Raw genomic sequence first — 13,032 nt, forward strand, 5'->3', positions numbered from 1 at the left:
TTTTATTTTTATATTATTTATTTATTCTTCCTTAGTTTCTTGAGATTATCATCCGCTGAGGGTGGAAGGGGAGTGAGCAGACACACTCAGGAGGTGTCTTGAGATTATCATCCGCTGAGGGTGGAGCTGAGGGTGGAAGGGGAGTGAGCAGACACTCGGGAGGTGTCTTGAGATTATCATCCGCTGAGGGTGGAAGGGGATAGAGCAGGCACTCGGCAGGTGTCTTGAGATTATCATCCGCTGAGGGTAGAGCTGAGGGTGGAAGGGGAGTGAGCAGACACTCGGGAGGTGTCTTGAGATTATCATCCGCTGAGGGTGGAAGGGGATAGAGCACACACTCGGAAGGTGTCTTGAGGCTCAGGGAGTTATCAATTATAGAATGTTGTTGAGTTGGAGGAGGTGGCTGGTGGCCCATCCTGTTTTTTAAAGTTTCAGCTGTGAGGTAGGGCCAGTAGGGCAATCCTGAAGAATGACGATGCTCCACTGCCGCCATTCTGACCTGTAGGGCCAAAGGAGGGAATGTTTTCACACATATTCATTTGATGGACAAAATTACCGCCACCAACACAGTCTGCACCTTCTGTTGCTGGTGATAGATTTTTGCACCTTTCCATCCTCCAGGTTTCAAAATAGCAGTGTCAGTGTCATAATATCACCCTTCCACTGAGTACTGCCGACAGCTAGGGGGTAAAGAAAAGTCATTGGGACACACTGTTGTCTCCACATGCCACTGTGTCTGTCTGCAAATGTAGGCAGGCTGGGGTCCTGCCCCAGGGAAGACAGAGTCATAACAGAGTAATAAAGAAGCATGTTTGAGACACAGGAGTGTCTATGTCTATCCTCATTCCTCCCTCACAGCCATCACCAGAGCATGTTTCTTGCACCAGGTCAATAGACAGTAAGAGACAGTAAGAGAGGCATGAAAAGCCCATTGTCCACACATGTTGCAGCTTCTTTTTGGAGAATGTTTTCCAGGCCTTTTATGTTCTGTCTCTGATTCTCAGAACTCTGCAAGGTCAGTGTGACCACCCTGCTCCAAATCTAAGAAAACAGAGGTTTCCAGAGGAAGGAGAAATTGTGCCCAGGGTCACACAGCTTGCAAGAGGCAGAGTGGAAGTTGATTCCAGCTCTGCCTGCAGGACCCTCTCATTTCCCCTCTGTTTCCCTTCTTGACAAAGGATCTTCTTCACTCTGGAGGTGCCACCCATGAGAACAAAGAGCTCTGGAGAGATGTGGATTCCTGAAGAGCTGCAGGGGAACTGGGAGAGGGTTTTCTGACAGAACAATCTTACCTCAAGAAGTCAGTTAGGCATGGCTGTAATATTTCTTTTCACTCCCAGGTAATACCAAATTGTAAGTGCACTAGGACATAAAGAATACTTTTGTCCATGGAAAAATGAGGTGGGAATTCTAAACAAAGCAAGTTTTAAAACTGTGTTTCACTTCAAGTGTACAAGTCCCATCGCGTGTAATCATAGGACTCGGCAGCTTTTGAAGGTACAGAGGCCACACAAGAACCAGCTTAGCTGAGCATCATTTAAGGCCCTCATTTGGAATTGTCCCTGTGGGTAATAAGTTACATTCACTCTTCACTAATTTACAGTCAGGGCCCATTTGCTATTACAAATACGGAACCTCTGACACTTAGAATATTAGATGGGGGCCCCACTGGGTGGGGATGAAGGTGTTTTTGCGCAACACAGTTACCAACAGGGATGGGACTGTGATGCTTGTAGGCAGCCTTCCTCTCTGCCATCTCCCTCTGCAGGGCTTGAGCACAGAGCCGTAGGGAGAAAAATGTATCCATGTCCTGACCTGGCAGACTATGTCCAAAAGCAAGGAAAACAAGCAAACTTACCCGGTTGCAAAGAGGCTTTCTTGCAGAAGGGGTGATCTGAAAAAGCCAACACATGAGAAATTGAATGTTGAGAGAGTCTAAGGGCCGTGGCATCATCTGCATCAGCACTGAACTATCCTGCAACTGCGGGGAGGAAGCTCCTTACTTTGCATCTGTAGTAGTCCTCTGCCCGCCGCCGCAACGCTTGCGCACGTTGAAACATTTCCCTATGGATTACAATCACTTTCATCAGATAAAGCACCACTTTCAGGATGATTTTAAATAATCTGCCATGTTTCTGTTATCCTCACAACTGTACCCTTACACAATCTATCTCTACCTAGAAAACGTATTTCAGATGGCTAGAAGAGTACAGTCTGAGCCGGTCACGGTGGCTGACGCCTGTAATCCCAGCACTCTGGGAGGGCGAGGCGGATGGATCACGAGGTCAGGAGATTGAGACCATCCTGGCTAATACGGTGAAACCCCGTCTCTACTAAAAATACAAAAAATTAGGCGGGGGTGGTGGCAGGCGCCTGTAATCCCAGCTACTCGGGAGGCTGAGGCAGGGGAATCACTTGAACCTGGGAGGCGGAGGTTGCAGTGAGCCAAGATCACGTCATTGCACTCCAGCCTGGGTGACACAGCGAGACTCCATCTCAGAAAAACAAAAACAAAAACAAAAACAAAAAAAACTGTACAGTCTGATCCAAACTGTTGCTATATTGATTCCTCCTCTTGCTTACTGCCTGCTGACTTCTGAGATGATAGTTTCCTTCCCCATTCTCAGTATATCCCTAATTCATCCTTCATTGAGCATCTTTTATCATAAAGCTGTATTCTCTTTGTATTAATATCTTTACCGTGTTTCACAGGGCAGAAACAGCTGGGCTTATAAACAGGCATAGTCCTTTTGAAGGATGTGGTTGATCCTACAACAACACACTTTCCTAAGGATGACAACAACTCACCCCACCCCTAGAATGGCTGGTATGAACCGAGTTTCCACACAGTCTAGCTGGCAATGGGGTCAGGAGCCGTTTTGCTACTTCACATCTTTTGGTCACTGGTAAATATTAAGGTACTTTGTTTTCTGTTTTGTGAACTCTCTCTCTCTCACGATATGTCTTCTGACCATTTGTTTCTATTTCTGCATTTACTGGGTCTAAACATTGTACAAAGGTTAAAAACAACACTCCAATGGGCGTTTCCCAAGAGGGTGGGGTTCAGTTTCTGAACTCACATGTAGGTGTGTATTTCTTTCATATCCAATTTCCCATTTTCCTCTGCCTCTGACACCTGCCTCTCCTTTTCTCCGTGCTCACGTTCTTTCATGCTTAGTTTCCTCAGACTAGAAGGGAGAGAAATGCACACACATGATCCACCAGCACGTGTGGGATTCCCTCTGCCCTTCTGGCATCTGAAGGCTGATTCAAAGATCCCCCCTGCAACCTTCCCACAAATGAACCAACTGATTCTCACAACCGAAGGAAGAATGGACACCTCCCATTGAGGGACAAAAAAAAATCACACTCTGGCCTGCTGGCAAGTCACCTGTCATTTCCAGCTCATCTTCATAGTTCCATAGTTAGTCCTATTCTTTAGTAAATATAAAGACTATTAAAAGCTTCTATGAGGTGCACTATGTGCGTCTCTGGGGTCAGTCTTGTGCTTGACACAGCGAAAGCTCATTTTAGTTCAGTGTGAAAAACCAGACCTCACCAATTCATCACAACTAACTCCATCGGAAGCAGAGGATTGCTCCTCATCTGACTCCTCCTGTGTGAGACCTGATTCTCAGTCAGAGGCTGATGCCGGAACTGAGACCATCAGCCATAGAGAGATCCTTCCAGAATATGGTGTCATTAACCCCGCAGTTCACTACTGCACTTTGCCATGATTCAGGACTGGAACTCTTGTCATCGACTTTAAAGATCCTGAAAAGGCAATCTGAATGCTGGGCGCATCTATTGAATTAGAAATGATCGGAATGGCTCCTAAGTCAGGATGTTATGTCCTGAAAATAGGTGACAACGGCAAACCATCCACCCTGGTGTTGACTGACTTTAACAAGGTTCAGTTCACAGAGATTGAGGGCAGAAAAAGGAAACGGCCTCAAAAGGGTAAGTTTGCTGTGTTGCCCTCACACCACTTGATTCATGGTCCTGATCCTAAGGATCTCACCTGATACTTGGTTTTATAGGAAGGATGTGTAAAATTCCCAGAACGCTAGGAAACAGGGACGAAATCACTTCAAAGAGAAAGTTAATGAACTTGTTTCTGACCACAGGGCATCCTTCAGCACATGCTGTCTGGAGTGGCCTCAAACAAGGTGTGTGTGGTGAGGTGCTGACAATGCAATGGGAGCAGGGTCCTGTCCCCACGCTAAAGAAGCTCACAGTTTAATGCAAATGAGAAGCCAGTGAGGACAGCACTACTCCTGCTGTGCACTTGGGAACTAGAAACACAAAACCTGACTCTGGAGGGAAGCTAAGGAAGCATTCTACTCTTGAGTTGACATAAGTGCATCTGAAGCTTCTGATCTCCGATGAGAACAATGGGGGACACCAAACAGAATATAAAACCCATGATTGAATACATCAAATTGCTAACATGGCAGTAAACAGACATGAGGTGAAGATGGAGAAGAAGGAAACCCAGGACGAAAGTCAGCCTCGCATTTGGAACCCATTTCCCTGAGTTTCATTGCTGAATTCCAGAAGGAACTACTGAGATGCAAAGAAGCACAGCAGCTTTTGCACACATGCGTGGGGTTAGATGGAAAACAAGTGGATTGAGGGTCTGCCAATGAAAGCGATCCATACTGAAGTCCACTGGCTCTGGTTGAGACCCAGAAGAGTCATGCATCAGAATAGAGGTGGACAGGAAATACCCTGGCCTTTGTAGGGACTGAGCCTGCAGAGACGACCTCAATTGCAGCCTGTACGGAGGACCCCTGACCATCCCCCAGAAGTAGACTCCCATCTCTTCTGCAGCAAGATAACATGCTACTAGGCCTCAATGCATTGTTAAATATTTTTTAAAAAGTATCTCACATTTAACAAAAAAAGATCAGTCATATGGCAGCAAAATACAATGTAGTATGACCAAAACATGAAAGACTGTGAAAATGAATTTGGAGGTGACCCAAGCATTGAATTCAACAATCCAGGCTGGGTGCGGTGGCTCACACTGGGAGGCTGAGGTAGGCAGATCACCTGAGGTCAGGAGTTCAAGACTAGCCTGGCCAACATGGTGAACCCGTCTCTACTAAAAATACAAAAATTGGGCTGGGCACGGTGGCTCACGCCTGTAATCCCAGCACATTGGGAGGCCGAGTTGTGCGGATCATGATGTCAGGAGTTCTAGACCAGCTTGGCCAATATGGTGAAACCCTGCCTCTACTAAAAATACAAAAATTATCTGGGCATGGTGGCATATGCCTGTAGTCCCAGCTACTCAAGAGGCTGAGGGATAAGAATCGTTTGAACCTGGGAGGCGGAGGTTGCAGTGAGCCAAGATCATGCCACTGCACTCTAGCCTGGGTGACAGAGTGAGACTCTGTCTCAAAAAAAAAAAAAAAAAAAAAAATTGGCCGAATGTGGTGGCACACACCTGTAATCCAAGCTACTCGGGAAGCCAAGGCAGAATTGCTTCAAACTGGGAGGCAGAGGTTGCAGTGAGCCAAGATTGCACCATAGCACTCCAGCCTGGGCGACAGAGCGAGACTCTATCTCAAAATTAAAAAAAAAAAAAAAAAGCCTGGGTGTGGTGGCTCACACCTCTAATCCCAGCACTTTGGGAGGCTGAGGCGGGTGGATTACCTGAGGTCAGAAGTTCGAGACCAGTCTGGACAACATGGTGAAACCCCATCTCTAGTAAAAATACAAAAATTAGCTGGGCGTGGTGGTGGGCACCTGTAATCCCAGCTACTTGGGAGGCTGAGGCAGGAGAATTGCTTGAACCCAAAAGGCAGTGAGCTGAGATTGTGCCATTGCACTACGGCCTGGGCAACAAGAGCAAAGCTCCATTTCAGGAAAAAAAAAAAAAAAGAGAGAGAGAAAGGAAAACCAATGCCAGTACTAGCAACTCCTCTTCCCCTGAAAAAATGACAAACAAGAATGTAGGAAGGGAAAGGAATTATACAGCTTAAACTAATGAAGCAGAAAGGACAAGCTCAATTTTGAACCCACTGAATTTGCCACAAATATTGTAGAAAATATTCTCAAGGACTTTACAGTTGTCTACTTTGATTGGCACATGGTTCATACAACAGTATTTGTGTCAAGGCACATCTTACTGTTCTTTGGCGGTCTTCCTCTTTCCATTGATTTTGTCATGACGGTTGACTTTTGTTGTCACCTTCATCTTACGGATTTTAGCTCGAACTTTGGTTTCCACCTGTCTCCATAAAGTAAAGATGTCTTCCAGGACAATTTTAATTCCTGGAAAGGAAGAAACTCTTTTCTTTGTGTGCATACAAACGGACCTCAGCCCTTGGTGAGAGTGAGGAGAGGAGAAGGTGAGAAACCTGAGGGCAAGAAGCTGTTCTTTCCCTTTCCAGGGCAAACTCATTTCCACACTATGGGGACTCCAACAGAGCCATACCTTCCTGTCTACGGCAGTTGGACCTCCTGGCTCTCTGCTGTACATCCGTGGATCCATCATGTCCATTTTGAGACGGGAAGATAGTCTTCAGGAAAGACACCTAGGAAATAATAATATAAGAATGACGGCTGGGCACGGTGGCTCATGCGTATAATCCCAGTACTTTGGGAGGCCGAGGCAGGGTGGATCACGGGGTCAGGAGTTCAAGACCAGCCTGGCCAAGATGGTGAAACCCCATCTCTACTAAAAATACAAAAATTAGCCGGGCATGGCAGTGGGCGCCTGTAATCCGAGCTACTCGGGAGGCTGAGGCAGAGAACCGTTTGAAGCTGGGAGGTGGAGGTTGCAGTGAGCCGAGATCACACCACTGCACTCCAGCCTGAGTGACAGAATGAGACTCTGTCACACACACACACACACACACACACACACACAACACAACACACAAGAATGACATGAGGCTGGCATGGTGGCTCACTCCTGTAATCCCAGCACTTTGGGAGGCCGAGGCAGGCGGATAACCTGAGGTCGGGAGTTTGAGACCAGCCTCACCAACATGGAGAAACGCTGTCTCTGCTAAAAATACAAAATTAGCCAGGCATGGTGGTGCATGCCTGTAATCCCAGCTAGTCGGGAGGCTGAGGCAGGAGAATCACTTGAACCCAGCAGGAAAAGGTTGTGTTGAGCTGAGATTGTGCCATTGCACTCCAACATGGGCAACAAAATTCAAACTCTGTCTCAAAAAAAAAAAAAAAAAAAATATAGGCCAGGTGCGGTAGCTCACGCCTGTAATCCCAGCACTTTGGGAGGCCGAGGCGGGTGAATCACAAGGTCAAGAGATGGAGATCATCCTGGGCAACATGGTGAAACCCCGTCTCTACTAAAAATACAAAAATTAGCTGAGCATGGTGGCCCACGCCTGTAGTCCCAGCTACTCGGGAGGCTGAGGCAGGAGAACTGCTTGAACCCAGGAGGCAGAGGGTGCAGTGAGCCAAGATCCCACCACTGCACTCCAGCCTGGTGACAGAGTGAGACTCTGTCTCAAAAAAAAAAAAAAAAAAAAATGACATGAATATACTTCACACAACTGAACTGTACACTTCAACACGGTTAGATGGTAATTATCATCTTGTAAGTATTTTACCACAGGTTAACATGTTTCACAACTTGAAAAGGAAGTAATTAATTACCTTCAGCTCTCTGAGTTCTAGAATTTGTAACATTTCACCCCCTGCTCCTTCCTGATCTGCACTGGAGCATCTTTCTTCTGTCCCTGCTCTACTCAGAGTTCACTTTCCCTTCCCTCACATCAGCTTCGTTGAGGCTGGTTTGAACTTAACGCAAAACATTCTCACTAATGACTGAATTCCCACCAAGATTTCCATATTATCACAGTATGCTTTTAATCTTCGAAGATATTAAATATTTGTTCTCATCATAGCTAAAATGCAATGCAAATCCCATCTCAGATGTGGGTCAGATACCTATGAATCTCCTGAGGTAGTCATTGAAATGACTTTTTTCTTGAGACGGAGTGTCACTCAACCATGCTGAAGTGCAGTGGCACTACCTTGGCTCACGGCAACCTCCACCTCCCAGATTCAAGCGATTCTTGTGCCTCGGCCTCCCAAGTAGCTGGGATTACAGGTGCCTGCTACCATGCCTGGCTAATTTTTGTCTTTTTAGTAGAGATGGGGTTTCACTATGTTGGCCCATCTGGTCTTGAACTCCTGACCTCAAGTGATCCACCTGCCTCAGCCTCCCAAAGTGCTGGGATTACAGGCATGAGCCACCACACCTGGCCTGAAATAATATCTTTCAAATTCTTTGTAGAACTTGTTTTTTCCTGATTTCTGCACATAGGATTAAAAAAAAATCATGTACTAGGATTTCAAGAGAAGCAATGGGTAATCTAAAAAGATGAAAAGAGCAACCACGTCTATCCCACAGCTACTGCTAGATTTCATAGGAAAGGTAGCTGGCCCAGTTTGGAGCTAGGAGAAATGTCAAACACATGAAGAAATGAGAAGCAAAGAAATGCCATCACACATGAATGCTTCATGGCACCCATGATGTCCCTGCTTAGGAGGTAATGGTATAGATGACTAGATGACAAGGACAAAGATGAGAGGTGCAAAGTTGTCCAAGTCCAACAGCTCAACTGAACTTTCCTAAATGGAATTGTTAAAAAGTGGTAAATTTAAAAACTTCCCCTGGCTCACGTGGTGACTCACGCTTGTAATCCCAGCACTTTGGGAGGCTGAGGCGGGTGGATCATTTGAGGTCGGGTTTTGAGACTAGCCTGGCCAACATGGTAAAACCCCGACTCTACTAAAAATACACAAATTAGCTGGGCATGGTGGTGGGCACCTGTAATCCCAGCTACTTGAGAGGCTGAGGCAGGGGAATCACTTGAAGCCAGGAGGTGGAGGTTGCAGTGAGCCGAGATCACACCATTATACTCCAGCCTGGGCAACAGAGGGAGACTCCTCTTGGGGGTGAGAAAAGAAAAAAAAAAAAGCTTCCTCCAATTTATACCGAAAATTCTCTGTTCAGGACTAAGTGGCATAGAGAATGTTAAATGTGCCTAGATATCTTCATAACTCATATATTTTCTGTTTTCTACATATCTTGAAAGGCAGTGCCAAATGACGTGTAATTATCTAGGCGGTAAAACTGAAACATACTTCCTCTTCCCTTGAATATAAAAAAGCATTGTGGTTTAGTACTTTTATCTTGGATCATTGTTCAGAAGGAGGTTCAGCCCCCACACAACCACATTTTTATTGTCATGAATGGCAAGACAAAATGTAGAGCTCAACTTACGCAAAGGATAAAAGGCTCAAAAGACAAATTATGCCACAACTTAGCAGCCAAATTCTTACCAAGTATAGACTTTTGACATACTGATCTCATTCCAGTTGCAAGTGGGAACATGCACTTTGAATGATGTCATTCAAAATTACCCTGCCCAGACACACTTTTCATTGATTCTCTTGGAGGGCAGTTCTAAGAGATTCTCTGGGGCTTTCTCTGCATCATGAGACGCAGTGCAGTTCTGCCCTTCACCTTCCGGCAGTTTGTCACCTCGTCCCTATGACCTCAGAGGAACTTTGTCTCAGGCCAACTGTTTGTTCCTTGGGCTCTTTCATTTCCCCTAAAAATCATTTGCTGCCCCTCTAAATGGCCTACATCTCCATCTATCTCCCTCTACCCTCAGAAGAGGGTGCTCTTTAAGCATCAACCATCCAGCCCTTCTAGCAGTCTCATTTTTCAGCTGGTTCCCATGTTTATGCCTGTTCTATGTTTTTCTTTTCCTGTTAAGCTGTCTGTTGTCAGCTCATTTCTGCAGTGAATCTTCAGAGAGGAGATTGGAAGCTTTCCTTCCACCCATACGATAGAACTATAAAGCAGAAGAGTTTAGAAAGACTTTCCCATTTAAGTGACGAAATCTCATACTCCATTTGTGACAAATAGCACAAAGGTTAAAAAAACTTATTTTTGACCAAAAGCTCTGTTGACATTCTATTAAACACCGACCTATTTAATTTTCATAATGTAAATGGCAGATATTTTCATAATTCTTATGCTAATAAATCATTTCCCTGATTTTTTGGGTAAAACCACATATTCATAATGAAGTCCAGAAACGTGAATTGTTTCATATAATTTATTCTTATTTGTGATTACAAGTATACCTCTACAGAAAGTTAGTATACTCACACAAAGGTAACTTGTGCAGAGGGAGATGGCAAATTTATAACTTCTCAGAAACACAGTAATGATAAGTAACCAAGGACTTCCACCAAAGTCAGTCCCACGATGACGATGGTCAGCCAGAGTATTGATAACCTGGAATAATAATAGTTGAAATAATGAAAAGGTCAATGACACTGACAATATTTCACTCAGAAAGAATCATCCTTAGAAACCGTCAACCTCCTCCAAAAGGTAACCACATCCCTCAGATATCACCGTGGGATTCCACTGCTACAAAAAAGAACAGAAGTTAGAGAAGTCTCATGTTTTTCAGATGGCTGGTAGTGTTTTTAGGCATTGCAAATGTGGGGTGTTGTCTTTCTTGGTATAAAGCAGGGATATCCAATCTTTTGACTTCCCTGCCTATATTAAAAGAAGCAAAGTTGTCTTGAGCCACACATAACATACACTAACACTAACAATAGCTGATGATCTAAAAAAAAAAATTTTTTTTTTTTTTTTTGAGACAGAGTTCCGCTCCACTCAGTCGCCCAGGCTGGAGTGCAGTGGTGCAATCTCGGCTCACTGCAACCTCCAGCTCCTGGGCTCAAGCCATTCTCCTGCCTCAGCCTCCCGAGCAGCTGAGATTACAGGTCTCTGCCACCATGCCCGACTAATTTTTGTATTTTTAGTAGAGATGAGGTTTCACCATGTTGGCCAGTCTGGCCTTGAACTCCTGACAGGCGATCTGCCTGCCTCGGCCTCCCAAAGTGCTGGGATTACAGGTGTGAGCCACCGTGCCCGGCCATTTTTTTTGTTTTTGTTTGTTGTTTGTTTTTGAGATGGGGTCTCACTCTGTCACCCAGGCTGGAGTGCAGTGGTGTGCTCTCGGCTCACTGCAACCTCTGCCTCTCAGGTTCAAGTGATTCTCCTGCCTCAGCCTCCTGAGTAGCTGGGAGTACAGGTGCCTGACAGTGCACTCAGCAAATTTTTGTATTTTTTGTGGAGATGGGGTTTTGCCATGTTGGCCAGGGTGGTCTCGAACTCCTGACCTCAGGTAATCTGCCCGCCTCAGCCTCCCAAAGTGCTGGGATTACAGGCATGAGCCACTGTACCTGGCCAAAATCTCCTAATGTTTTAAGAAAGTTTACAAATTTGTGTTGAACTGCATTCAAAACTGTCCTGGGCCACATGCAGCCCGTCACTCATGGGTAAGACAAGCTAAGTATAAAGTAATTATCTTATCTTTTATTTTTGTTTTGAGACAAAGTCTTGCTCTGTCACCCAGGCTAGATTGCAGTGGCATGATCTCAGCTCACTGCAACCTCCGCCTCCCGGGTTCAAGCGATTCTCCTGCCTCAGCTACTGAGTAACTGGGATTACAGGCGCCTGCCACCACGCTCGGCTAATTTTTGTCTTTTTAGTAGAAACAGGGTTTCACCATCTTGGCCAGGCTGGTCTCCAACTCCTGACCTCATGATCCACCTGCCTCGGCCTCCCAAAGTGCTGGCAATACATGTGTGAGCCACTGCACCTGGCCAGTAGTTATCTTTTCTTTAGTTATTTACTTGTTTTTTAAATTGATGTATAACATTGGATGCATTTATTATATATCACATGGTAAAAGAATCCCTCTAAATAATACTTCTCTCTTGGATTATATGAATCTTTGTCATTTAAAGCTCAGCATAAGTAAAAAAAAAAAAAAATACAATGAAGAGATTACTTCATTCACAAATAAGTATCGAATTTTAGTTCTTAAAAAGTAACAAGGTGGGCTGGGCGTGGTGGCTCACGCCTGCAATCCCAGCACTTTGGGAAGCCGAGGTGGGTGGACCGCGAGATCAGGAGATTGAGACCATCCTAGCTAACACGGTGAAACCCATCTCTACTAAAAATACAAAAAATTAGCAGGGCATGGTGGCACGCGCCTATAGTTCCAGCTACTTGGGAGGCTGAGGCAGAAGAATCACTTGAACCTGGGAGGTAGAGGTTGCAGTGAGCCAAGATCGCACCACTGCACTTCAGCCTGGGTGACAGAGCGAGACTCTGTCTCAAAAAAAAAAAAAAAAAAAAATTACCAAGGTGGAGATCATGAAAATGGCATGAATAGCGTGGGATTTCTCTAAGATTGTTGATATTAATTCCATTAGACTCTTATGTGAGTGAAGACGAAGACTTCCCCTGAGTAAGTTCAGACAGCTTCTGATAACATTTCTACATCGATTCCTCAGGATTTAACTATATATTCTTGAAAACATCTCAATTTTAAATGTTTCTTTCAAGATGGTGAATTAAACAGAGATAGCCCTTCAACAGGTTGAACTCAGCATATGCTGAGTCTGAAATGGAAATGATGGAGTTAGAGAACCGTACAACAATGGTAATGATTTCAGAAACATGGTGTTGAGCAGAATAAAGCAGACACAAAAGAGTACCTATGGCATGGCATGCATCTGTATACGCGAAATTCCAGAATAAGCAAGCTAAGCTATGATAAGAAAGAGACTGGCTGGGAAGAGTGAGAGTTCACTTTCTGGGGTGACATAATAGTGTAGATCTTGGCTGGGCACGGTGGTTCATGCCTGTAATCCCAACACTTTGGGAGGCCGAGGCAGGCGGATCACCTGAGGTCGGGAGTTCAAAACCAGCCTGACCAACATGGAGAAACCCTATCTCTACTAAAAATACAAAATTAGCTGGGAGTGGTGGCACATGTCTGTAATCCCAGCCACTCGGGAGGCTGAGGCAGGAGAATCGCTCGAACCTGGGAAGCAGAGGTTGCGGTGAGCTGATATTGCCCCATTGCACTCCAGCCTCAGCAACAAGGGAGAAACTGTCTCAAAAAAATAAATAAATAAATAAAATAATGTAGATCTTGAAAGGGG

General features: G+C 45.1%; 1 protein-coding gene and 1 pseudogene across 3 annotated transcripts in view; both read right to left on the reverse strand.

Moving 5' to 3' along the window:
• Positions 1-13,032, reverse strand: part of NPIPA9 (nuclear pore complex interacting protein family member A9) — an 18,750-nt gene continuing 5,718 nt past the window's right edge. For both annotated transcript variants that reach the window (NM_001405004.1, NM_001401710.1), the window contains 7 exons: positions 10,169-10,297; positions 6,446-6,545; positions 6,138-6,282; positions 3,081-3,188; positions 2,004-2,064; positions 1,859-1,894; positions 1-499 (listed from right to left, as the gene is read on the reverse strand). In NM_001405004.1, coding sequence (NP_001391933.1) covers positions 32-499; positions 1,859-1,894; positions 2,004-2,064; positions 3,081-3,188; positions 6,138-6,282; positions 6,446-6,545; positions 10,169-10,297 — 1,047 coding nt within the window. In that variant the 3' untranslated portion in view covers positions 1-31. The remainder of the gene's footprint in view (positions 500-1,858; positions 1,895-2,003; positions 2,065-3,080; positions 3,189-6,137; positions 6,283-6,445; positions 6,546-10,168; positions 10,298-13,032) is intronic.
• The window catches only part of PKD1P5-LOC105376752 (PKD1P5-LOC105376752 readthrough), a 43,821-nt pseudogene continuing 30,804 nt past the window's right edge, over positions 16-13,032 (reverse strand). Inside the window, exons 32-38 of the transcript NR_146331.1 lie at positions 10,169-10,297; positions 6,446-6,545; positions 6,138-6,282; positions 3,081-3,188; positions 2,004-2,064; positions 1,859-1,894; positions 16-499 (exon numbers count right to left, since the gene is read on the reverse strand). The product of NR_146331.1 is annotated as a PKD1P5-LOC105376752 readthrough (transcript). The remainder of the gene's footprint in view (positions 500-1,858; positions 1,895-2,003; positions 2,065-3,080; positions 3,189-6,137; positions 6,283-6,445; positions 6,546-10,168; positions 10,298-13,032) is intronic.

This window comes from Homo sapiens, chromosome 16 (assembly GCF_000001405.40).
Source record: "Homo sapiens chromosome 16, GRCh38.p14 Primary Assembly".
In the NCBI taxonomy this organism is placed as follows: domain Eukaryota; kingdom Metazoa; phylum Chordata; class Mammalia; order Primates; family Hominidae; genus Homo; species Homo sapiens.